The sequence below is a fragment of the Homo sapiens genome, chromosome 10 (assembly GCF_000001405.40).
Source record: "Homo sapiens chromosome 10, GRCh38.p14 Primary Assembly".
In the NCBI taxonomy this organism is placed as follows: domain Eukaryota; kingdom Metazoa; phylum Chordata; class Mammalia; order Primates; family Hominidae; genus Homo; species Homo sapiens.
In genome coordinates, this window is record NC_000010.11 from 122,670,031 (window position 1) to 122,695,777 (window position 25,747).

Genomic DNA, 25,747 nt, shown 5'->3' on the forward strand with positions numbered 1-25,747 from the left:
AAAGGGACGTTGGAGGTTTCTGTGGCGCCACCTGCCCAAGCTGTTTGGAATCTCCCAAATGAGGTGCCATGGCAGGTCTGCTCAGCCTGGGGGATTTTAGCAGGTGATGGATGGTTCTCATTCTTCTAAGACTCTCTAAAGAGCAAGCACTTTAATTTCTGGTATTCAAGGGGCCTTGAAGAGCTTAGGATATTTTCAGCTACATGAACAAAAACCTCATCTCAAATTGACTTAAACAATGAGGACAGGGATTGATGCCTGTGTCTGGACAATGCAGAGGCTTTAGGGCTGACATCAGCAGCAGCTCTGGTGTGGCCTTCCCACCATTGCCTTGCTCTGCAGCTCTGCCAGTTGGCTTCATCCTCATCCTGGTAGCAAGGGGGAGCAGCCATGTCTGCCTCCCTCTGAGTCACACCTTCCTTTGATGCCATTGGACCAATCTGGGTCACATACTCAAGTCCGCATCCATCACTGATGCAGAGGGTGAGCCTTCTGTCACCATCCATGCCACCTTCCTACTCTACTCAGGCCAGCATTTGGAGCTAGGCTTGGAGCCAGTTGCTCCTAGGACACATTGGGTATGCTGGGTGAGAATAGATACCTGGAAAAAGTTGGGGTTTTTTGTTTCCAACTGGGAAATCATGCTAGGGAGACAACACAAAAAATGCCCATCAGACCCTAAAATTCTTCCTGGTAAAGTAAAAGTAAGGGTGGTGGGGAGGCAGATAATGGCAGACCTGGAACAGAGGAGACCAGTTGGACAGTTCTGACACTGTGGATGGCATCAGTCACAGGGGTCTTTGAACAAGGTGCAGAGAATTACTAACCTCTCCTGGAGAAGCAGAGGACAGGTCTGAGTGCAGCAGGCTATGAGAGAAGAACATACAAAGGGAAATAAACAAATCCACTTAGGGCTAGATAGGAGCAAGGGACGACCTGGGAGGATAAAGATCTGAGGGACGCAAATCCTCAGAAGCTGGTGCTAACCCAAATCTTTCCTCCAAGCTGACATCGTGAGTTGGGGCACCTAAGACTTTGGTTTCCAGGGTCCTCCAGAAAAGATACTAGGTCTTTGTTCCTTCAGACAGCCACAGCCATGCGGGGACGATGCTGGAAGACATGTAGCCATCCTGACACATTGGAGCCCATGGCAGGATCCTTGGGCTGGGGTACAAGAGGAAGGAAGCATCCTCTCCATGGGCTCCAGCATTTGCTCCATCTGGGCATTCACATCCAATTGTGGGGAGCTTTGACCTCTTCCCAGCCCAGGGCCAGGGGTAGGGTGAATGAGGGGTAATGGGACAGGGTATCTGGAGTAAGAGGAGGAAGGAGAATTGTGAGGAAGTATTGCAGTTTACTTTGGTAATACATGGGGACTTAACACTAAAACAGCCTTTTTCAGTGACTTCTGAGTAGGGAGAAACAACTGGGCTCCCAGCCCAGCAGTGTCGGTCTGTTCTACTTGAGTTGGAAAGCCCCTTCACACTGTGAACCCATCATGGCCTGTGCAAACAAAGTTGTGGGAAATAAAGGCCGAGGGTGGCTTCTTTGATCCATAAGAAGACGAGTGATGCAATACAAGATTGCCCTGAAGATATGAACAGGCATTTCTGAAAGAGCTGTAGTGGGAGTGGAGGCATTGAAAGGGTGCCAGCCCCACTGGACTTTGGGGAAATGCATTTTATAACATTAGGTATTATTTCCATCATATTTGATTACAAGACATATTAAAAGATGTGACAAAATCAGGAGTTGGTTAGAGTTTAGGAAAATGGGTCCTCATGAAGTCCTGGTTGTTGTATAAATTGGTCACAGTCTTTGGTTGACAAATTGGCTTGCATTCCTTCATATGGCTGAATAAATTCCCATTATGGCTATACCAAGTTTTCTTCATCTGTTTCTCAGTTGATATTAGATAGTTTCCCTCTTTGGCTAATATAAGCAATGTTACTATGAACATTCATGTACAAATTTATATCTAGACATATGCTGTTAATTCTCTTTAGCATACAGCTAGTGGAATTGCTAGACCATAAAGGAACTCTCTGTGTAACCTTCTAAGAAATTTCCAGCCTGTTCTCCACAGAAGCCTCTTTTAACCATGACCCTGCCCTGGGACTGAGCCATGTGGATCCTGGCATGACACATGGGTAATACAGGCAGACACAGGTACTCATGCCATCTACCTGGACATTCCTACATGGGTGGGCCTATCCCTGCAGTGGCCCCACTGTGACCCACTCACACATTGATCTGCTCAAGGGCCTGATTTCATGCCTTTGCTCTCCTGTGACACAGAGAGGGCTGTGGGAGAGATGGGCAGTCAGGAGTTCGGGACCTCACCCTGGTTCTGCCCCTGATGCCCTGTGACTTTGGGAAAGTCTCCTGGTTCTCTCTGGGTCTCGGATCTTCAGCTTTCCAAGGACTCCTGGCCTGCCTCACCTCTGGGGTGTTGTGAGGCTTCCGCAACATAATACAGCTGCAGATGCTACAAGTTAACCCAAAGAAAGAGGGCTGCCCCAGTAGGAGATCACAGATTGAGGCCAGCTTGTGATACTTCCCTTGAGTCTGCCTGGGCGGAAAGGAGAAGGAGCACCTGGCCATTATATCTCTGTCTAGGTGAAACCTGGAACCTGGCTGAGAAAGATCAGTGTTGATTAGCATCTAGCCACACCTCATCCCTCCCTCTCTAGACCACCCAGGTGATCCTGCAGCACCCTCAGATCCTACAGCTTGGCCAATCTTGGCTCCAGATGGGAGGGAGAAGATCAGATTTCATGGGTGTTTCTATATAACCCCAAGCCACCAGAGCTGAGCTCACTCCTGAGGTTGGTGCCAGGCCCTGCTGAGGATGAGGCTGTCCAGAGCCTTCGCTTGGCCGCTGCTGTGCAGTATAGGTAACGCATGGCCCCAGGCCCTTTCTTCTGGGCCTCGCACTGTTTTCCTTTTCAACTGCAGAGATTTTAAAATTTGCTTATTGCCAAGGAAGAAGCCCATGGCTGATTAGCTGAAAGATACTCTCTTCCATACAGAATGTTTCACTTAGTGCTGGTGGAAGAAGAGACAAATAGGAAAATATCTATGTCATTGTGCTGATGCCATCGTGATTTTTAAACATTTCTGGGTTCCTGAGTTCCCGGTCTTGATGTGTTCTGTGACCCTCCTTCCTGCCTTAAGCAATGTATGCTGAGATTCTGCAGGGCTCACCCAGAAGTGGCTGAGAAAATCAGACATGGTCTTGCTTTCGAGGCTTTCCAGGTGGTCTGACGGCAGGCAGTGTCTTGGTGAGGGTGCCCTGCATTGAATGTGTCTGGGGACTTCTGAGGGGGTAACTGTGGCCCTTGGGGGAGCCCACAGCAGGAGGGAGCTCTGCATCTGCCCAGCGGGTTGTCACATGGCTGCTGCAGCAACTTCGGGAGGAGCAATAACCAGCAGCTCCCACCGCTGGCTGGGAGTGCCTGGAAGAGGGGGAGTCACTTGCCCTCTAGAGGGCTGGACCCTGGGAATTGTGTCAACTGCATGAGGACTGGCCAACTGATTTTGAATGCAGGCAGGAAAGGAAGAGGGTATAGATTTCCTCAGGGAGATGTCTTCGTCTCTATGTCTCTCTTCCCCTGGCTTCCTGTTTCCCTCATTCTCCCCACCTTCTTTCTTTGTATCCTCCTCTTTCTCTCCCCTTTCCTTCCTGAGCTCCTTGTTTCCTACTCTCGTCACTTCTTTCTCCTCTCTTGCCCTTGCCGGGTCCTTTCCAACCTTGCCCATTTCTCCTGCGCTGCTCCACTTTGCTGACTGCACACTCACGTCAGGGGCTGCCCCATCACCGGGTGCTCTCCTCCCCTGCCAGGATTTCAGCCTCACTGTAGGCCCCAGCTCCACATGGCTGCCTCTGGCTAAAGCTTCAGATGCCCATCTACATTTCCAACTCAGATAACAGCTTACAGCTTCTGTCTAAATTAGGGCTACAGTGAGGCCTTAGGGCAACTGGTCATAGGAACCCTAACAGCTTGGTGGAAAAATTTAATATGCTTGACATTTGGTTTCCTCATCCTTGGTGAAATCAAGAGACACAAAGACAACTTGATGAAAAAGAGGGAGAGGTGCTGAGCTTAAATGCAGAAACTAATGAGTGCTGCATAGGCTTGGCCAAGTCACCCAACCCCTCTTAACCTCAGCTGTAGAATCGGGGTGCCTCGACAGGGCTGTTGTGAGGAGTTAGTGAAGCAAAAGTTTCCATTCAAGCAAATTTAGAAAAGTTCATTACTAAAGCTCCCTGGAGTGATCACTAGCCTCACAGCCTGAAAGCTTGTGTGGTTAGTGATTGTTAAGTAGCAGCTTCTTCCCCATGCCTCAAGGCCTTTGCCTAAGAATCTAGATGAAAGGAATTTAAGGTAGATGTGGTTACAGTACAGAAATGTCACTCAATATGACAGGCATGTTCAGGATTTGCACTTGAGGTCTGCTTTCTGGGGAATCGTGATTTATTTCTTCCAGAGCCAACTTGATAGAGGCCCCAGCTGTGGGGAGACTCTTCTTTGCACCCACAAAGGACCAATATAGTCTCAGGCTCAGGAAGGACAGCTAAGATGTCCTGGTTGACTTTCTTGTCAGAATAGGTTGTGTAGCATTATGAGGATTGCTAATTTACTTAGTAAAGAAACATCATCTAATTTGGAAAACGAAGCAACTGTCTTGAAAGCGTTAGAGTGACAGATCAGGTGTATGCCAGGCTACCCTGTGCTGGGCATTGGGCCATGGGCTCGTGCACCCAGCTTCATCCTGTAAGGTAGTTAAAATCAAGATGCCCATTGTATAGATGAGTGACTGAGGCTTAGGGAGAGTTAAAAACTTTGTCCAAAGTCGTTCAGCTCTAGGCTGCTGGGACAGTTAACCAGGGACATCTGATTCTGAACCCGTGGGCCTGCCCGCTAGATCATAGCCTGACAATGATCCCAGTGTCACGTGCACCGTGGGACGTATGAGATTGTGTGCAGGGCTGGCTTGGATCCCGTTATCTAACTCCAGTCCCTGAATAGTGAAATTTCCATAAATAAACATGGCTCACTTCTACTCACTTAAAAATTTTAGTCAACAGATTTATTTCAAATTCAAATTAATCACTGGTTTTGTTATAGAATTTACAAGGAGAAGTGTTTATATCAGAGTTAAGGTAGCTGACTTTTATTTTTTCCCAGGAAAGTGGGACGTGAGACCTTTAGCTAAAAAATCAGGAATGTCTCGGATAATTCAAGATAAGCTGACTACTCTATCAGAGCAGTCATTTCTGACCATGGCTCCAGAGTGAGACAATTGAACTTTAATTGAGTGGAATGGGAAAAACAAGAATGCTGTGAGTGAGCTAGTTTGTGAATTTGTGAGTGCTGAGAGCCGATGCTTCCTTCCATCCTTCTCTCTGGGTAACCCAGGGCTGTTCCCATAAATGGGGACAGTGACGCCATCTCTTCTTCCTGCTTAGCTCTGTCCCTTTGTGCTCAGCTCTGTCCCTTTGCACTCAAGCTCCTCTTCACAGTGTAGTCATTTTCCTTTCTTCTGCTTTCACCCATTGGTAAGTTCAGATTTTCATGGTTTTTTTTGTTTTGTTTTGTCTTTCAGCCACAACTGTTAAAGCTCCATTTGCCACAGGTAAATGCAGACAAGACTGTTACCCTCTTTCCCTTGCCTCACACAGAGACACTGTTTTGGGGTTGAAATCCAAATGGATCAATGAGAAGGGCACGTACCAGGGATAATTCTTGTCCAAAAGGACTTGGTAATTGGATTCAGCCTTCATAATCGCTAATTCCCCCTCCCACCCTCTCAGTGCTCCCCTCCATGAGACTCCTCCCAACTTCCCCAACACCTCCAAGCCCCCCCGAAGTCTCCTCTGCCCTCCTGTCTGACCAGCCTGCTGGGCAGGGAAAGGAGCCACCACTCCACAGAGCCTGTGTTCCTGGAGGTTGGGAGCCTCTTCTAAACACCTGGAGTCTGGAGATCTGAGGAGCTGCTCCATCCTGGGTGTCAGAAAACTGCTCCTCCCTCTAACCTGCTTCCTCCAGGGTGCAGTTCTTCCCTCTTCCTACGAGCTTCTCCGTGAGGATGCAGGCTAGAGGGAGGAGCAGTTTCTTGCGATGCAGGGTGGCTTGTTGATTGATTGGTGGATTCACCTAGTGTTTAACCAGTTGCTGGGCACAAGCTAAGTGCTTTAGAAACTGGAACACATTTGACCACTCAAGGAAAGTGCTCTTTTCATCCTCAGTCACACTTTCGGAGCCTGAGGCATCATTGAACCTCAAGGAGATGGATTCTCATTTGTTCAGGGATTGGGCTACTATTGGGGCAGGAGCACTGCCTATTTGTTATTTGTCCAGCCTGCCCTAAGAAAAGATCTGTAGGGAAATGGAAAGATAGTGTTTGTGCTGATTTTCTGTTCACTAATCGGGCAATACGATTGGTGAGAAAGTTTTAGTAAGGGGAGTTAAGTTCCTCTATTTCCCACTGGTCATAAACAAATTGTACTTTAAAATAAGTGTGGGTCACCTAATAAAGTCTGAAACCAAAAAGCCCACCTTGTTTGTGGAGCCATCAGACTGGGCCATTAAGGTTGAATTTTCTTCCCAAGGATGGGAAGTTGGGAGAATCAGTAATAACAGGGGCCCCTGGAATGACACAAGCCAATCCCAGACCTAGAGCATCCCTGCAGTGCCTGGGCCCCGTTTCTCCTCTTGTAGCACCCAGTGACTGTGGGGGCCACTACACAGATGAATATGGCAGGATCTTCAACTACGCTGGGCCGAAAACTGAATGCGTCTGGATCATCGAGTTGAACCCCGGGGAGATAGTCACGGTGGCCATTCCAGACCTCAAGTGAGTACTGGGGTTGTGAGTTTTCTTTGATGTTGTTGGTATTTCTAGGAAAGATCCCATCTTGACCTCATATGGTTCACCTTCCACCCTATCCATGACAGCCATTTGACACACAATTTGACGACATTTTCACTTCCTGTTGAAAGCTTTTCACTGGCTCGTTTTCTCCAAATAAAGTTGATTTTCTTGTCATGCCTTTCTCATTCCTCACAACTGGTTTCTCTTCTCTGCTCACTTCTGATCACTTCTCCTCTCTGGACCCTGCTATGGGCTGTGCCATTACACTGAGTTTCCTGGACACACCAGAGTCCAGCAGCTCCTTGCCTTTGCTCACACCTGCCCTCTGCCTGGAATGCATCCTTCAATCCCTGCCAGACTCATCTGCCCTCTGCAAAGGGTTTTCATGTTGTATTTCATGAGTTAGCTCAAGGACAACAACCTCCATAACAATAAAACCACTTTCCTGACTCTCTGCAGAGGAGGAGAGATCTTTTTCTCACAGGGGTTTACATAATACCCCTGGAAAGCTCTACACTGAATTTATAGTGTAATATTACTCTTGGCTATGACTTTGTTTGTGTCTACTAGGAGTCTGTCTTTGGATTGCAGGTATTTTTCTTAAATGAATGAATGAATGAAGTGATAAAGCCACAGAAGGCATTTCCAATGCAGCCTAAGTTACTGCATTGATATCCCAGGGCAGTGTTCACAGATTTCAGCATGGAAACCACATTTCCATCAATTCCAGACCAAGCCAAACACAGCCCACAATGGTGGATGAGACAGATGGTGGAACTGTGTGACCCAGAGGTCCTGTCCCCTCCAGACAGCCTATGGGCTCAGAATCCCACTACGTTATGCAGGAGTTCTATGGGATCAAGGACACTTCGAGACACCTGCCTCAAATACGGGGCTTAAACTGTCTACCCAACCTGAGGCCCAGGGATTCAAAAAGGATGTGTGGCCATGAAGACCCAGATGGGGAAACAAGGAGAGAAGGAGCTTGAGGAGGGACCTGGAATGAAAGAGTCGTGCACTTCCTGTGTCATAATTTCCCCAAGGCCAGCGGGATGGGCGGCTGTGGACATTTTCCCATATTGTCCCTTTGTCCTTTTCAAAGTTGATTTTGAATCTGATTGTCCTTGGCACCAAGGAGGGACACAGGCTGGGCCAAGAGCAAAACTAGTATAAAGTCAGCCCTGTGTGTGTCCTGGTGGGGTGTCCCCTTGTTGTCTTATTATACCCCAGAGAGGCTCCAGCCCCTCCTTGTGAACTGAGACCTGCTGGGGCCTGAGGATGAGGGGTGGAGATTAGGACTGGAAAAGCACAGGGAGGAGAGGGAAGTAGGGAGGTCTCCTAGGACTGAGAACTTCCATGTGCAGCTTGTCTCTCACAGGATGGAGATAGAGACCCCTCTCTCCTCTGCAGTGAGTAAGCAAGGCCAAGCTTATGCTAGTGGGGGGTCATGCTTCACCTCTTCCTGTCCCATCTGCCAGGGGAAAGGAAGGCAGGAACCAGGGAGTGGTGTCCACACACTCATTTCTGGTGATTTTTGTCCTGACACAGAGGTTGTGGTTTAAGGAAACATACCACTCTGCTGGCTGCATTCCCTGTTTGGGGAACTTGAAACACAGCTGATGTTTTGACTAAAATTCCTGGGTTGGAATCCTAGGGCCATGGGCTGGGCTCCCTGGAAGACATGGAAACCATGAGACTGGGAAGCCACCTGCTGCCCTGGTGGAGGTGAAGTTTTCTGGGAAGATGGAGGGGGTGCTCGGGCCCCTGCTTGCGTTATTGAAGAACTGACAAACTTTCCTTCTTTCGTTCTCATCTGTCCTTGCACTTCTCATGAGCAAAGCTGTTGGGATCTAGTGTGGATTCATTGGTGGAGGGAGGTGGCAGCCTGGCTGGAGGACAAATCCAAATGCTGATGGTTGCCTTTTCTTCTGACCCAGAGGATTCGCATGTGGCAAAGAATACGTGGAAGTGCTGGATGGACCTCCAGGGTCTGAGTCCTTGGACAGGATTTGTAAAGCCTTCAGTACATTCTATTACTCTTCTTCCAACATCATCACCATCAAGTACTCCAGAGAACCCAGTCATCCACCCACCTTCTTTGAAATATATTACTTTGTTGACGCTTGGTCAACACATTAATAGGAAGATCGGGGGAAGAGGCACCTGCTGATGCTCCCCTGCTCTGCCTGAGCCTGGTTCTGCATATGTTGGACAGAGGCTATACCTGGGACTGCAGAAATAAGATTGAGTCATAGTTCTCCTGGATCAGCATTGGGTGAGGGAGAGGGAATGTGACCCTGTGACCCTTCCAGAAAAAGGTACGGGTTCTGTCTCAGCATTTCTGTACACCCACATCTTTAGTGTTAGAAGATCATATGTGAAAACTTTATCTTTCCTGTCTTCTTGATATAGAAGTGGGTATCTCTGAGAAGCCATCTTTCTCTCTATTGATCTTATTATATGCCCTGTAGCATTTTCTAGTGTATTTCTGCAAAGTGAGTAGTATATGAACTATATACTATAAGGAATGTATAATACACATATTCTATATGAATATATAATCCTAGAAAATATATATAAACAAGAAATATATATTATATATACATAAAATATATATAAATAAGAAACTTGTGCCTCCTGGACTGAGATTATACTTGGTGCCCTATGAGTCTCTGGACACACTGAAATACACAGCACACACTCCCCATCCCTAAGAGACTTGTATTCAGTTGAGGACTGAAACCAGCTTGCATAGAGTCAAACAGCAGCACAAGAAGCAATGGCCCCTGACACCCCCATCAGGCAGTGGGTGACAGCTGCAGACACTGTGAGGTCTGGGGTTCACCCAGCTATGCTGTTCACACCAGGCTTCCCAGTGAGGTGGAGCTCAGGTCTGGCCTCCAGCATGGGGAGGTCTGGAAAGGCCGGAATAGGACATGCTGAGCAGGTGCTGTGAGCAGAGGTGGAGTCACCCGAATGGGGTGAATTTAGGAACAAAGAGAACACAGAGAAAGGTGCCCCCTCCATCTTTCTGAGTGTTTCAGAAAGGGCAGAGCTCCCAGTGGGGCCTGTGTTGGGCACATTTGAGTGCATTTCAGGCACATCGCTGAAGTGGCTACTTCTTCCTTCACCATGGGTGAGGTCTATCTGGGGACAGAAGAAGGCTTGGCTCCTGGTCTTGGTTCTGGATGAGTCCAGTTTTTTTTGTTGTTTTGTTTTTTTTTCCCCGGGATACTTGGTCAGTCCCCAGGAGGCCCACAGTCCTCCCTGAATGTGACCAGGGGAGAGGAGGACACAGGGTCAGGGACCTTCCAGAGCTGACCTTGTGGAGTTTCCCTCCACCCTTGAAGCTGGAAGGAGCATCTGGACCCTGTAAACCTCACATGAAGCAAGCATCTCTGTCTGTCATCTAAGTTGTTCCAGAATGTTTGTCTTGGAGCTTGAAGGATCACCTGAAACTCACATGTTTGAAGAAAAAAAAAAACAAATCCTAGTTTTGGTTGGCTTTTCTGGTTTTTCTAAATGTACAGATATGGAGACACAGCAGGAGGACTTGTCCTCTAGCTCTGGTGCACAGCACACGGTAGCCTGGGACTTTGTGTGAGCAGGTCAGGTCTTTAATGTTCCAAGAGCATCTTGGAGTAGAATAATACAATGTGACCAGCTGAACATGACTTCTGCTTAGCGTGCTGATGTCTTTGACTGGAAAAGGTCCAGGGAAACCCTGGACAAAAAGCAGAGTCAAAGAAAAATAACAAGCTACCTGTGTCCATTCTGTTGCTGAGTGACGTGCGGCTCCAGGTCAGACTTTTTACCTCTGTCAACCATGGTTTTCTCATGTGTGAACTGGAGATAGAAACATCAGACCTTTTACCTCTGTCAACCATGGTTTTCTCACGTGTGAACTGGAGATAGAAACATCAGACCTTTTACCTCTGTCAACCATGGTTTCCTCACGTGTGAACTGGAGATAGAAACATCAGACCTTTTACCTCTGTCAACCATGGTTTCCTCATGTGTGAACTGGAGATAGAAACATCAGACCTTTTACCTCTGTCAACCATGGTTTTCTCACGTGTGAACTGGAGATAGAAACATCAGACCTTTTACCTCTGTCAACCATGGTTTCCTCACGTGTGAACTGGAGATAGAAACATCAGACCTTTTACCTCTGTCAACCATGGTTTCCTCATGTGTGAACTGGAGATAGAAACATCAGACCTTTTACCTCTGTCAACCATGGTTTTCTCGTGTGTGAACTGGAGATAGAAACATCAGACCTTTTACCTCTGTCAACCATGGTTTCCTCGTGTGTGAACCGGAGATAGAAACATCAGACCTTTTACCTCTGTCAACCATGGTTTTTCTCATGTATGAACCGGAGATAGAAACATCAGACCTTTTACCTCTGTCAACCATGGTTTCCTCACGTGTGAACTGGAGATAGAAACATCAGACCTTTTACCTCTGTCAACCATGGTTTTCTCATGTGTGAACTGGAGATAGAAACATCAGACCTTTTACCTCTGTCAACCATGGTTTTCTCATGTGTGAACTGGAGATAGAAACATCAGACCTTTTACCTCTGTCAACCATGGTTTTCTCATGTGTGAACTGGAGATAGAAACATCAGACCTTTTACCTCTGTCAACCATGGTTTCCTCGTGTGTGAACGGGAGATAGAAACATCAGACCTTTTACCTCTGTCAACCATGGTTTCCTCGTGTGTGAACTGGAGATAGAAACATCAGACCTTTTACCTCTGTCAACCATGGTTTTCTCGTGTGTGAACTGGAGATAGAAACATCAGACCTTTTACCTCTGTCAACCATGGTTTTCTCGTGTGTGAACTGGAGATAGAAACATCAGACCTTTTACCTCTGTCAACCATGGTTTCCTCGTGTGTGAACTGGAGATAGAAACATCAGACCTTTTACCTCTGTCAACCATGGTTTTCTCGTGTGTGAACTGGAGATAGAAACATCAGACCTTTTACCTCTGTCAACCATGGTTTTCTCGTGTGTGAACTGGAGATAGAAACATCAGACCTTTTACCTCTGTCAACCATGGTTTTCTCGTGTGTGAACTGGAGATAGAAACATCAGACCTTTTACCTCTGTCAACCATGGTTTTCTCGTGTGTGAACTGGAGATAGAAACATCAGACCTTTTACCTCTGTCAACCATGGTTTTCTCATGTGTGAACTGGAGATAGAAACAGATGACAAAGGAATAATAATAGTGAAAACCATTAAATGTTTATTCAACACAACATTCTCTAGGTACTACCTTAATAATGTCATACAGGTTGTCTAATTTCATCATGACATGAAGTCTTTTGGGGTAGTATTACTATCCCTAGTTTACTTAGGATTTGAGAAGGTTTTGTTTTGTTTTGTTTTCTGTATGTTTGTTTGTTTGTTTCTGAGATGGAGTCTCACTCTCTCACCCAGGCTGGAGTGCAGTGTCACGATCTTGGCTCACCAAAAACTCCGCCTTCCGGGTTCAAGCAATTCTCCTGCCTCAGCCTTCCTAGTAGCTGGGATTACAGGTGCGCTCCACCTTGCCTGGCTAATTTTTGTATTTTTAGTACAGACAGGGTTTCACCATGTTGGCCAGGGTGGTCTTGAACTCCTGACCTCAGGTGATCCACCCGCCTCAGCCCCCCAAAGTGCTGGGATTACAGGTGTGAGCCATTGTGTCTGGCCTAGGATTTGAGAAAGTTAGTTGAAAATAACTTCTCCAGAGGCACACACTGTCATGCCAGCTAGGACTGTGACGAGGGCCATCTGATGCAGAGGCTGGGCTCCTGCCAACACGTCCATCATGAGTGCGAGCCACAGAGTCATGTCCCAGAGGGAGGCCCTGTGACTGCACTCAGGGCTCCTGCATTCAAGTCCATGACAGGTCCCTGAAATGGTGAAAATTTCATAAATTAAGATGGCTTATTTCTCCTAACTCCAAAAAAAAATCGTATTCAATAGGTTTACTTCAACATTAGGTTGATTATTGGTCTCATTACAGAATTTAAAACAAGAAATATTCAGGTGAGCATTAGATTGGCTGATTTTTCTGGTTTGCCCGGAATAAGAGGTTTCAGGGACAGGAGAATTTCAGTCCTAAACAACAAACGTTATCAAAAACTAGGACGTGAAGGTTGCCTTGGTCAGGGCTGACTTTTCTGTCTGTGGCTCCAGAGTGGGGATATTGTACTTTGAGTGGAATCAAAGAAACAAGAAGAAAGCAGTGAGTGAGCTGGTCTGTAAATGCTGAGAGCCAGTCCTTCTTTCCTCCCTGCCCCTGAGGGACCCAGCGTTGCTCCCAGGGATGGGGACAGCGATGCCACCTCCTCTCCCTGCTCAGCTCCATCTCTTTGCACTCAAGTCCCTTTTCACAGTGTGGTCATTATTGATTCTCCTGCCTTGACCTACAGCTAACTCCCAGCTTGGCATTTTGTTTTTTGTTTTGTGTCCTTTTATGGAAAATCAATTAGCCAAGAAGGATATGAGGTAAATGTGGGCAATCTAATTTCATGCTTTCATTCTTCTCACAAGGAGGCTTTGCATTTTCAGGTTGGAATCCAAACAGCTCACCCCTAAAAATCATGTTCTGAGACATGTTCTTGGCCAAAGAAAAGTGGAATAAGTAACTGACTATCTGCTTAAGCACTTCACAATCCCTAGATCACCCTCCCTACCAGGTGCTCACCACTATTTCCTCCCTGTTCCTCCTCCCCTCTCCCTCTGCAACTCCAAGTCCTAGGGACCTTCCTCTGCCCTCCCTTCTGGGCAGCTTCCTGGGCAGAGAAAGTGGCCACCTCCTCCAGAGCCTGTTCCCAGGAGAGGAGACTCCTGTAAACCCCTGAAGTCTGGAGAGCTGAGGAACGGCTCCATCCTCAGTGTCAGAGATGAGAGCATTGAAGGAAGAGCGAAGAACTGCAGCATGGAGGGTGCTGGTTGGAGGGAGGAGAGTTTTTCTCAGGATATAGGGGACTTCCAAAGTGTTTATCCACCTAGTGCTTAAAAGGCAGAAATTATGGGCTCAATTATGGGCTAAGTGCTTTACAAATAAGAACACAATTGATCCTAGATCACCCACTGTGATAGGTACAATTATCGTGACAATTTAAACTTATCTGAGACTAATCCTCCTTATCTGTGATAATGGAAAACAACAAGGTTAAGGAAAGTTCTCCACCATTTTTGTTCTGGAGAATGGCTTACTAGAAAGACCACCCTCACCTGTATGACTTAGATAAGACTCATATGATCCCACATTTTCCTTAGGCAACCTGGACACCCCAAATTCTCACTCATTTTCTCTTCAATGATTAGCTGAACTATTTTCCTTCCTTATCAATTGAAATGAAATGCTTGCCAAATTGACCTAACCAAACTTTAGTTAAGCTGGTCTCCCACCACAGCTTCCCCACCTTTGATTCATCCCTCAAGATAAACAAGCACTGCAAAGCAGAATAATCCTCCCAAAGACCCTTCTGGAAATGAGCTGACCAGGAGACACAAATTCCTGGTCACCTGTCACACTACCTGCTCATCCCATCTCCCACCCTCAGTCCTTCTAGCTTCTGTCATCCTCCCTAGAAACCAAATTCCTTTCTCTCTGACCTCTGAGATCCTTGCCAATCCTCTGGTTGGAGCATTCTCAGTACTGCTATAAGCATTTTGAATAAAGTCTTTGTATTAGTCCATTTCTACACTGCTCATAAAGACATACATGAGACTGGGTAATTTACAAAAAAAGAAGTTTAATGGACTTACAGTTCCACATGGCTGGGGAGCAGCCACAATCATGGCAGAAGGCAAGGAGGAGCAAGTCACATTGTACATGGATGGTGGCAGGCAAAAAGAGAGCTTGTGCAGGGAAACTCCCATTTATAAGCCATCAGGTCTCATGAGACTCATTTGCTATCATGAGAACAGCATGGGAAAGACCCACCCTCATGATTCAATTACCTCCCACTAGGTCCCTCCTACAACACATGGGAGTTATGGGAGCTACAATTCAAGATGAGATTTGGGTGGAGACACAGCCAAACCATATCAATCTATTTAAAGCTACGTTGGGATTTGGTTTATTATTTGACAATCTTCCTATCACACTTTGGGGACCTGGGCATCACTGAGCATGATCGTGCAGCCTCTTCTGACCTGTCTTTAAAATAAGATGGATTCTTGTTTGTCTGAGGTCTCTCTTGAGGCAGGAGAACAGCCTATTTGCTATTTCTCTCCCCTGTACTGGGAAAAGACCTGTAGGGACACACAATTGAGAAGGTGCCGGCTTTCTGATCACCATTCTGCCAATGTGGTGATGCAGTATGCTATGATGATGGTGTTAAAGTTCTACTATCTCCCACTGGTCAAAAACACATTAGACTACATATGGAACTGGGTCCCTTAAAAACCTCTGCATGGAGTAAAACAAAAAGCCCACCTTGTTTGTGTGATCATCACACTCCAGTTACCTATGTTGTTTTCAGCTGTCACATAACATTTTAAACAGACGTTGGTATCTCTATGAATATACCCAGCTAAGGTTTTTCTGTGAAATGTAGAGATTAAGGAATAGAAACCTCTTCAATCATAGTTCAAATGTGCATGACCATATGTATAGTCAACTCTCCATAAAACCAGTAGTTCTGTCTTGCTCGTGATAGTAGTTGGCCTACAAATGATGCTTAAGTTCCTGCTATGTATAAAATGAAACTTTCGATAATATTTATGGATGAGAATCAGTTAAATGCTCTTTGCTTTGAGTGGAAAGTTGACTTCAAATGCTATCTTGGGTGTTTGAGGTGGGATCTAACCTTTTTACTCCTCACTTACAGGCTGGTGCCCTTCTCCAATTGCTGTTGGGTTAACTTGACATCTTTGAAGGCTCCTGGAACCATTTTCTACTGAAAAATATCTGTGGCCTTCTGGGAAGACATCCTCTCCTAACGAGATGAAAGTTCAGTGTTTTAGTGAACTGACTTAATGGCTATTACTATACCATAATCTAGCTGGGTTAGTGGGTTGGGCCATTCTTGCATTCTTATAAAGAAATACCTGAGACTGGGTAATTTATAAGAAAAGAGGTTTAATTGGCTCATGGTTCTGCAGGCTATACAGGACGCATAGCAGCATCTGCTTCTGGGGAGGCCTCAGGAGGCTTCCAATCATGGCAGAAGGCAAAGAGGGAACAGGCACTTTACATGGCAAAGCAGGAGCAAGAGAGAGAGAGTTGGGGAGGAGGTGCCACACACTTAAACAACCACATCTTGTGAAAACTCACTCACTATTGTAAAGACAGCACCAAGGAGATCGTGATAAAGCATTCATGAGAAATCCACCCCCATGATCCAATCACCTCCCAGCAGGCTCCACCTTCAACACTGGGGATTACATTTCATTGTGAGATTTAGAGGGAATACACATCCAAACTGTAGCAGTCAGGGACCCGACTGATTGGCTGGCCAATCTGATTCAGTACTTCCGTTTTGTTTTGTTTTTTTTTTTTTGAGATGGAGTCTCACTCTGTTGCCCAGGCTAGAGTGCAGTGGCACAATCTCAGCTCACTGCAAACTTTGTCTCCTGGATTCAAGTGATTCTCCTGCCTCAGCCTCCTGAGTTGCTGGGATTACAGGCACCCACCACCACATCTGGCTAATTTTTGTATTTTTAGTGGAGAAAGGGTTTCATCATGTTGGCCAGGCTGATCTTGAACTTCTAACCTCAGGTGATCTGCCTGCCTCGGCCTCCCAAAGTGCTGGGATTACAGGCATGAGTCACCATGCCCAGCCTGATTCAGTACTTCTTATCATGCTGTTCCAAAACAGGATAATGACACCAGCAAGAATCACAACCAATATTTGTTCCTGTATCTATATTTCTGTATAAACCAATATATTAATATATCTATTTATCTACCTCCATTTACCTGCTTCTTCCAGGTTGACTGAATGCTGAGAAGAATCACTTGCTATTACCTTAGTGAATGTCCTTTTTGTTACAAGTAACAGAAATACACTTTAGGTAGATTGAGCAAAAAATGAGGAAATTTACTGAAGGATTCTAGAGTAAGTCTCAGAACTGAAGGGGCGGTGTAGACAGGGAAGCAATTTGGGAAGCTACCCTCACCTCTCTATTTTTGATGCCATCTCACCTGACCCTTGTGTTTCATTCTCCTCCCCTCCAGCCTGGCGACATCCTCTTCTCTGTGCACATTGTAGAGGACAGCTGCCTTACAGCTCAGCTCCCAAGCGTGTCTGTTTGTGTTAGTCCATTCTCACGTTGCTATGAAGAAATACCTGAGACTGGGTAACTTACAAAGAAAAGAGGTTTAGTTGGCTCACAGTTTCACAGGCTGTACAGGAAGCATGGCGCTGGGATCTGCTCAGCTTCCAGAGAGGGCTCAGGAAGCTTCCAATCATGGCAGAAGGCAAAGGGGGAGCAGACACTTCACAGGGCCAAAGCTGGAGCAAGAGAGAGGCAGGGGGTGGGGGGTGTCACACACTTTCAAATGACCAGATCTCAAGAGGACTCGCTCACTGTCACGAAAACAGCACCGAGGGTATGGTGCCAAACCATTCATGAGAAACCCTCCTCCATAATCCAATCACCGCCCCCCACCAGGCCCCACCTCCAACGCTGGGGAATAATCCAATCACCGCCCCCCTCCAGGCCCCACCTCCAACGCTGGGGAATAATCCAATCACTGCCCCCCACCAGGCCCCACCTCCAACGCTGGGGAATAATCCAATCACCGCCCCCCACCAGGCCCCACCTCCAACGCTGGGGAATAATCCAATCACCGCCCCCCTCCAGGCCCCACCTCCAATGCTGGGGAATAATCCAATCACCGCCCCCCGCCAGGCCCCACCTCCAATGCTGGGGAATCGGGGGGTGCAATTTGACGGGAGATTTTGTGAGGGGACGCAGATTCAAGCCATATCACTGTTCATAGTTCAAAACGACAGCAAAGATTCGCTTGCACCTCTGATTTCTGTCTGGAAATTTCCAGGGAGAGACTGATTTGTGTGAATTCGGTTGAGGATCCACCTCTGGTTGGATGGCTGATCACCAGCAGGGGAGACTCATAGAGCACAAATGTGGGGGTGCCCATTCAGGCAGCACTGGGCTCAGGTTTCAGAGGGAGGTTGGTAGGGCCCCAAGGAGCAGTCATTCCAGAAACTATTACAGTGTCACCTGTCATGTCTGCCTGGCCGACATTTTTTTTTCCATATTGCTCTTGAATTTGAGTTTTTATGTTATCTTTACTGAATACTTCAGGTATCCAGTAGGAAATGAGTGCTTAAAGAGAAGAAATTAAAAAGGGAAAGTTACGATAAACTGAACATGACCAGTGGAAAAGTGAATCCAGCAGAGGAATGAGGAAACTGTCTTTGCCCATCAAATATTCTGCCTTTTGGGGACATATTGTTGACCTTGGCAATCATCTGTGGGTGAGGGAAGATCAGCAAAGACCATTTGTTCTGTCGTGCTGACGAAGACCAGATATATTAAGCATTCAGTGACCTCTGTCTCTGGAGAGGTGACATTTCGGCCAAAATGTGCAGCCAGCTATCTGCAGAAAGAGCATTCCTGCAAGCGCAGAGGATCTTTAGCAAGAGCAAACTAGGCTTGTTCTGGGTGCTCAAAGAGGTTCAGTGTTGCTCAAGTGAGTGAGGGTGGGGGAAGAGGAAGAGGTGAGAGCAGAGAAAGGACCAGGGGACAGACCAGGGGAGGTTTTGTAGGCCACTGTTAGAATCTTGGATCCTGTTTAAGTGCAAGAGGAAGCATGGAAGGGTTTTACATTCATTTCCTGCTGTAACAGAGCACCACCAGCTGGATGGTTTAGAACAACAGAAACTTCTCTCACAGTTCCAGAGGCTAGAAGTCCAACAGCAAGCTGTCAACAGGGCCACACTTCCTCTGACGGAGCTAGAAAAGAATGTGTCTCAGGCTGTTCTCCCACCTTCTGGTAGCCTCTGGTGTTCCTTGACTTGTAGATGGCCATCTCATCCCCATGTTTCTTCACATCCTTTTCCCCCGCAAGTGTCTGTGCCCAAATTCCCCCTTGTTATAAGCACACCAGTTATATTGGATTAGGTTCCATCCTCCCAACTTTGTTTTAATTTAACTACCTCTGTAGAAACCCTATTTCCAAATAAGGTCACATTCTGAGGTACTGGGATTAGAACTTCAACATATCTTTTGCAGGGAGGGAGACACAATTTAACACATAGCAGTTTTAAACAAGGAAGTAACATAATGTGTTTAAAAATATCACTCTGGCTGCTAGGTGGATTGTGAGTTATAAGAGGGTCCTTTTGAAGAGCCTCCTGCATTAGTCCAGGTGAAAGATGGTGGTAGTTTGGATGGAGAGAAATGGCTGTCTGGCTGTAGCCTTGGCTTGAGCTTGCGGTACAGGCAGGAAGTGAGGCAGCTTGAAGCCAAAGATAATAATAGAGATTCAGATATTATAAACTCTTAGCTAACATGAAGTAACTATGAAGTACTCACTAAGCCTCATGCTCAATTAGCTGTTCTTATTCTTTCCCATGAATTATCTCATTTAATCCTCCAACTACCTATGATGTAGACACTATAATTGCCTCTACTCACAGATGGGGAACATGAAGCTGAGCACTGCCTAGAAACCTGGCTGAGATCCCACAGCTCACCTGATATTGAAGCAGCTATTCCCACCCATGTCTGCTGCTGCCACGTCCAGGCTCTTGGTGACGTCTCAGCACTCTATTTCAGAACACGCTGAAGGCTTGTTTGCTGAGACTGGAGATTTACGGCACAGAGGGAGATAACGTTGGTTAGGTGGGGCTCCTATTTTAATTATTTATGAGTATTTGTCTCATTCTTCAACTATTTATAAGCTTGTTGATGGTAGAGTCCAGGCTCTCTCTCTCTATATATATATCCATATAGAGGTAGACATGGGTGTGTATATACCCATATATAAGTATATATATAGTCTGGACTCTACCCTTAACAAGGGTGTATATATATTCCCACACCCATATATAGATATATAGATATTCAGCTATCTATCTATATCAATGCTAATATTGAGCTATTATCATGTTCTGGGCCTCGTTCTGAATCAGGTTTTCTTAACCTCAGCGATATTGGCATTTTGGTCAGGTCGTTCTTTGTCGCAGGGCTGTCCTGTGCATTGCAGGATGTTTAGTAGCATCTCTACCCTCCGCTAGATGCCAGTTGTGACAACCAAAAATATCTCCAGACATTAACAAATACCTCCTGAGGGACAAAATTCCCCCTAGTTGAGAATTACTGTCTAATACCTCACATTTAACATATCCAGGAGCCCCATTAGGCAGCTACTCTTCTGATTCCATTTGTGGGAGAGGAACTCGAAGCTCAGAGATGTTGAGATAGATGTCCTAGATGATACAGCCAGGGTTCATATAACCCCTCCAACATCTGAGCTCATGGCAGATGTTGACAGGACACCTGCTGGATGGATTGCAGGTAGCTTTGACATTGAGGCAGAGATGTTTATGCATGGCTAAGCATTATAGGAAACCATGAAAGGTTTTTGACCAGCGTAGTGATCTGAGAAAAGCAGAAGTTTACAGAAAACTCAAAGACTCCCTCCCATCTTCAAAGATAACTTCATATTTGGGATCTTTGGGCCTGGGGTCAGAAGGGATTAGAGGGTAACCTCATCCAGGAAGGGAAATGTTCCAAAGATCACCGATGCTTTTCTGCTTCCTCCTTTCCTCTTCTCTTATGAAATTTTCTTTCTACCAAATTACATAAGATCCTCTAGGCATCCTGCTTCTTGTCACTCCCCAGACATTTTGGTAATAAGAGCATAAGGATTAATTACAACCCCCTGTGAATGTTTAATGCAATTACTGTTCACTGGCTCCCAGTAATTTCCAAAACATAAATGGGCAGTGAACAGACAAAATCTCCATTTGCCAACAAAGCTACAACTTGGCATTTAAATTAAATAAAAACCACCTACCATTTTTTTGACTTTTATTTGAAGGTCGGGGGTAGCATCACTGCATGATCAAACAGGAATCCAACGCATCCATTCAATTATTACTGGTTGACAAAATTGTATGAGACATAATGAATGCCAATTGATTCCACTATAGTCACATTAAAACTGACATAGCATTAAAAAAAGAAACACTTACTAAAAATCCAGGAAAGAGACAAAAGAGGAAAAATAGGCACTCAACTTCTTCATGATCTCCTTTCCAATAAAATATCTTGTGTGTAGTATGTAGAGTGTTCCTCATAAATTCATCAGAAGAAATCATTCTTCTTCCTTTTTGATGCAGCTCTGGATTTGGGGAACTCAAGAGGTTCTCCTTTGCTTAATCTATTTCTCCTTACAGTCCAAGGCATCTAATCCCCTTGTCTATGGGCAGCCCTTAGTGCTCCCTTTTATCTCTCACATTGTCAAGGTTTTGGTGACAGCATTACAGATAGACATGACCACTGTGCCCCACCCTGACTCACTCATACCCTTTTAATTTAGATGTTCCCATCCCCCAGAGCAGAAGGCACTTCATTCATATTAACTTTATTTTCTAACTACTTTGATTACTATTCTATCAACTCCAAAGTGGTCAAGTTTAAGTTTAAAGCCTTCTAGTCTCTTAACCCAGTGCAGTGCATTCTCAGTGTAAAGTGGTCATGTGCAGGGCAAACAGTAGCTCATTCCAATGCCACTGGGGCTGCTCTCCAAGAGCCAGGTGAGAAACCCATCCTGACCAGAGCAAGGTGGACTTGGGGCCAATTCTTCTACAAAGGGAACCATCTCTGAAAATGGTATAATATGGTAACAAATGGCGGTCTTGTTCTGTGTTCATGGTCAGCTGACTAGAGCAAATAGCTGGGTGACTGAGATAATGTATGGCTAACTCAATATTCAAGCTGCCTGCATTTCTAAGCACCTATATTTTTCATTCACTTATTCATTCATTCATTCAGTCTGTAACCCCAAATCTAGCTTGAGCTCACTGGCTTCTTAGGCTCTGGAGGAGGCAGGCTCCACTTCTCAATTTCCCTCTGGTTGAAGTTCAAAGCCTTCTTTGGGATTTCTGCAAACTGCCAGCAGGCTGTAGGACACCATTTCCACACATGCTGTCTCTCTTCTGAACTCTCTGCCTGATATGAAACTCAGCCCTGTCGTCAATTCACAAACGCCAGTCCCCGAAGCTCATTCATACAACGTACTCATGAATTTAATGGGCTTTTCTGATGGTGAGGGTCTCAGGGAGTAATCTCTGGAGCTCTGCATAGCAAACAACTTACAACAACATGTTAGGTACTTCTCGTCTCAAAAGCCCACAGCCTCCTTGATACGTGGGGTTTTACATGGCTGTTTATCCCCATGCAGTGGGGTACATCTCACTAGTGGCTGTCTCTTCTTCCTCCCTTCTTCCTTTTCTTTTTAAGAGAAAAACAAAATTCCTCTCATTTCCTCATGCAAAGAGGCTAACCATTCTTTCATTGTTAGGAGGCTTCTCAAGTATCCCCTTCCAGCCCCAAATAAACTGTAAGGTATTTTTCCCCAAGAAAAACAATTTACCTTAAGATAATTTTGGGTGCCAGCTCTTAAGGAATATAAATGCTGCCTCATTATGATTTTAAAATCATTTATTGAAGTACATACAGTATGTTAGGTACTAGGGATACTAGAATGATTAAATTGGGCTTATGCACTGGCTACAGAAATGGCTTGTCATCCAGTGGGTTATACATGAGACAGATGGCATGTGGAAGGAGGAAGGCAGTCAGTGAGAGGGAAGAAGCAGAGTCAAGTTGCTATGGGATCCCTGAAGAGGGCAATGGATTTGGTTTAGGGATGAATTATAGAACGAGTGCAGTGTCTCTTCAGGAAATGGAGGTAAATGTCTGGTCATATCCAAATTGTTAGCCAGATGTTTTACCTCAGGATTCTCCAGCTTGTTTTTGTTTGTTTGTTTGTTTGTTTTTGTTTTTGTTTTGAGATGGAGTCCTGCTCTGTCACCCAGGCTGGAGTGCAGTGACGTAATCTCAGTTCACTGCAACCTCTGCCTCCTTGGTTCAAGCTATTCTCCTGCCTTAGCCTCCCGAGTAACTGGGATAACAGGCATGCACCACCATGCCCGGCTAATTTTTTTTTTTTTCTTTTGTAGAGATGGGGTTTCACCATGTTGGCCGGGCTAGTCTTCAACTCCTGACCTCAAGTGATCCACCTGCCTAAGCACCCCAAAGTTCTGGGATTACAGGGGTAAGCCACCACACTCAGCCTTCTTTAGCTTGTTTGACCCCAATTTAGTCACCCACTTCTGACACCATCATCATAGGTGAGCCCTGTCTGATTTCACAGGGCCCTCGTGAGTAAGGGGTGAGACCACATTAAAAACTATATAGCCTCTAGGAATGGAGCAAATGATGGCGTCTGTTTACAAAAGCAATTCTAAATAAAACCAATACCAATTTATAAGTAAAAGGAAGTTCAAGGAAGTTCTGACCTGTTCAATAATGACTACTTTCAGCTTATATGAAAATCTACTATCAGATTCTTTTCCTCCAAAATATCTATCTTTCTGTTTTTTGAGACAGGGTCTCGCTCTGTTGCCCAGCCTGGAGGGCAGTGGCACACTATTGGCTCACTGCAAGCTTCACCTCCAGGATTCAAGTGATTCTCTTGTCTCAGCCTCCCAAGTAGCTGGGATTACAGGCATGTCACCACACCCGGATAATTTTCGTATTTTTAGTAGCGATGGGTTTTCACCATGTTGACCAGGCTGGTCTCAAACTCCAGGCCTCAAGTGATCCACCCGCCTCAGCCTCCCAAAGTGCTGAGATTACAGGTGTGAGGCACCATGCCCAGCCTATTTATATTTTGTTTTCGTCTGCTGGATAACCCAATAATAAACTTTTGGTAAAAATTTAATTGATCACTTGTTCTCCAAGCCTTCTTTGTTAATCAGCGTTCTCAGGGAACAGGGATTGTTAGAAATTTCAGATTAAGCAACTGATTACCAGAGCTCTCTTTTGTGTCCAGTGCTATGTCAAAGACTTTCTAAATTCGTCATCACCATTAGCATAATCTACTGAGCATAAGAGTCTCATAGGGCCTTGTGGTCACTTATCTCTTTATCAAATATTATCATCTGGATGTATTTATGAAACTCAGGTAAGTGGTGCTTAAGATAAATAAGTACTTAATCCAGGGAATTTTCTAAAACCTTCAAAAATTCAAATCCGAATCTACATTTATTTTCATATAGACTTCCTGAAAGATGGCATACACATACATGGTAAACTGTGGGCATATTCTGGATGGCTCCAGGTAATTAATGTTTACGGCAATTAATATCACACTTATCAAGAAGTTTGGTATTGATAACAGCCAGTAAGGCAATATCTTGGCATTCTGTTGACCTCTTCTCTTTCCAAAGGGTTGAATTTGTTCTCATAGGTGATTTCCGCATCTCAGAGAATTTGGGTCAGTGAAAATATCTCTATGCCAGCACCACCTGGCCTTCTTGTAACACAATACTTAGGTTGTAACTGTCCACACTAAGCAGGTGGTGAGCAGTCGGCAAGTATTGAGTCAACTCCCAACTCCACTGAACGCAGCTAATTAAATGAATTATAGAACTGAGCCTTGCTGACCATTTAGTTCAATGCACTCGTTTAACTGATGGGTAAGTTGAGTCACAGAGTGCCTGGTGGCTTACCTATGCCTCACAGCTGGTTGGGAACAGAGCTGTAGGGAGAGCACTGATCTCCTTATTTCTCCTTTAGAGAACTTTATACCACATCATATTGCTGATCCTAAGCAATTTTTAGGGTCCAGATAAATCGTTTTCAGTTTTTTCAAACTGGCTTGAGTTTTCAGGTGATGCTTTGGTATTCACTATTTTATACATATTTAGGAGGTTATATCAACATTGGAAATAATAGTTTCCTCCCCCCCCCACCAACTCCAATTTCTAACTTTGCCTCAGCTGAAAAGTTAACCCATTTCTTTGATTCATGCTGATTCTTTAGTCAGAATCCACTGATATTTGGGAACAATGCTACACTGCCCAGAATCACTGTCTTGGCCACAGCAGCTGCTGATAGAATACTTCAAAATGCTCTTAACTTGGAGCTGTGGCTAATGGAGTTGTCCTGAAAAATCAGAAAGGGTGAAGCCTCCTGCTAATGACATTCCCTCTGCTTGGAGGGGAGCTGTGGCTCTGAAAGGGCTGATTGTGGAAAATCCACTGGCAAGAGGGAGCTAGAAAGGAACCTGACCTTGCCTCAGGCAGTTGTAGGTCCCTGTAGACAAGTTCACTGTCTTCCCAACTCTGTGAGGAGTTGCTGAGGACACAGTGTGATTAACGGAGGAATTCCTCTATGCTTCAGATGTAGACAGTGAGTAAGTGCATCATGCATCTCAAATGGTGAAGGTGCTGGCTGGACTCAGGGTGAGATTGTTAGGGAAACAGGGTGACACCATTTTAAAATCAACTCCATCTTTAAACTAGCAAGGCACATTCCTTGCTGGTCATGACCCATGGTCATGAAATGTTTCTGGCTGAGGAAACTCCTACTACAATGAAATGTCCAGATGTCCCGATATCACATAATAATATATGCTTTTAAGATGATTCTAGACATGCTTTGATGTACCTACACACTAAAATACCAAAAATAACTTTCTTTAAATCAACAAAGTAATACATTTTGTCACGCTGTTAGCCCACCCTCACATTGTCATAGCTTAGCTTTTACATAGATAAGACCCTTGTATAAGAAAAACTTAAAGATGATGCATTCCTCTGCTTGCTTTCTGAGGACGCCCCACTCTGTAACTGAGTAGCTTTCAAT

At 45.4% G+C, this 25,747-nt stretch overlaps 1 protein-coding gene across 1 annotated transcript; it reads left to right on the top strand.

Annotated features, from left to right (window-relative positions):
• The first annotated feature begins 2,819 nt into the window (after positions 1-2,819).
• On the top strand, positions 2,820-9,464 carry SPADH (spermadhesin family member). The gene is made up of 4 exons (NM_001364461.3): positions 2,820-2,897; positions 5,611-5,640; positions 6,726-6,861; positions 8,817-9,464. The coding sequence occupies exons 1-4, from the start codon at positions 2,852-2,854 to the stop codon at positions 9,016-9,018; spliced, it is 414 nt and encodes a 137-aa protein (NP_001351390.1). The 5' UTR covers positions 2,820-2,851; the 3' UTR covers positions 9,019-9,464.
• Positions 9,465-25,747: the final 16,283 nt, after the last annotated feature.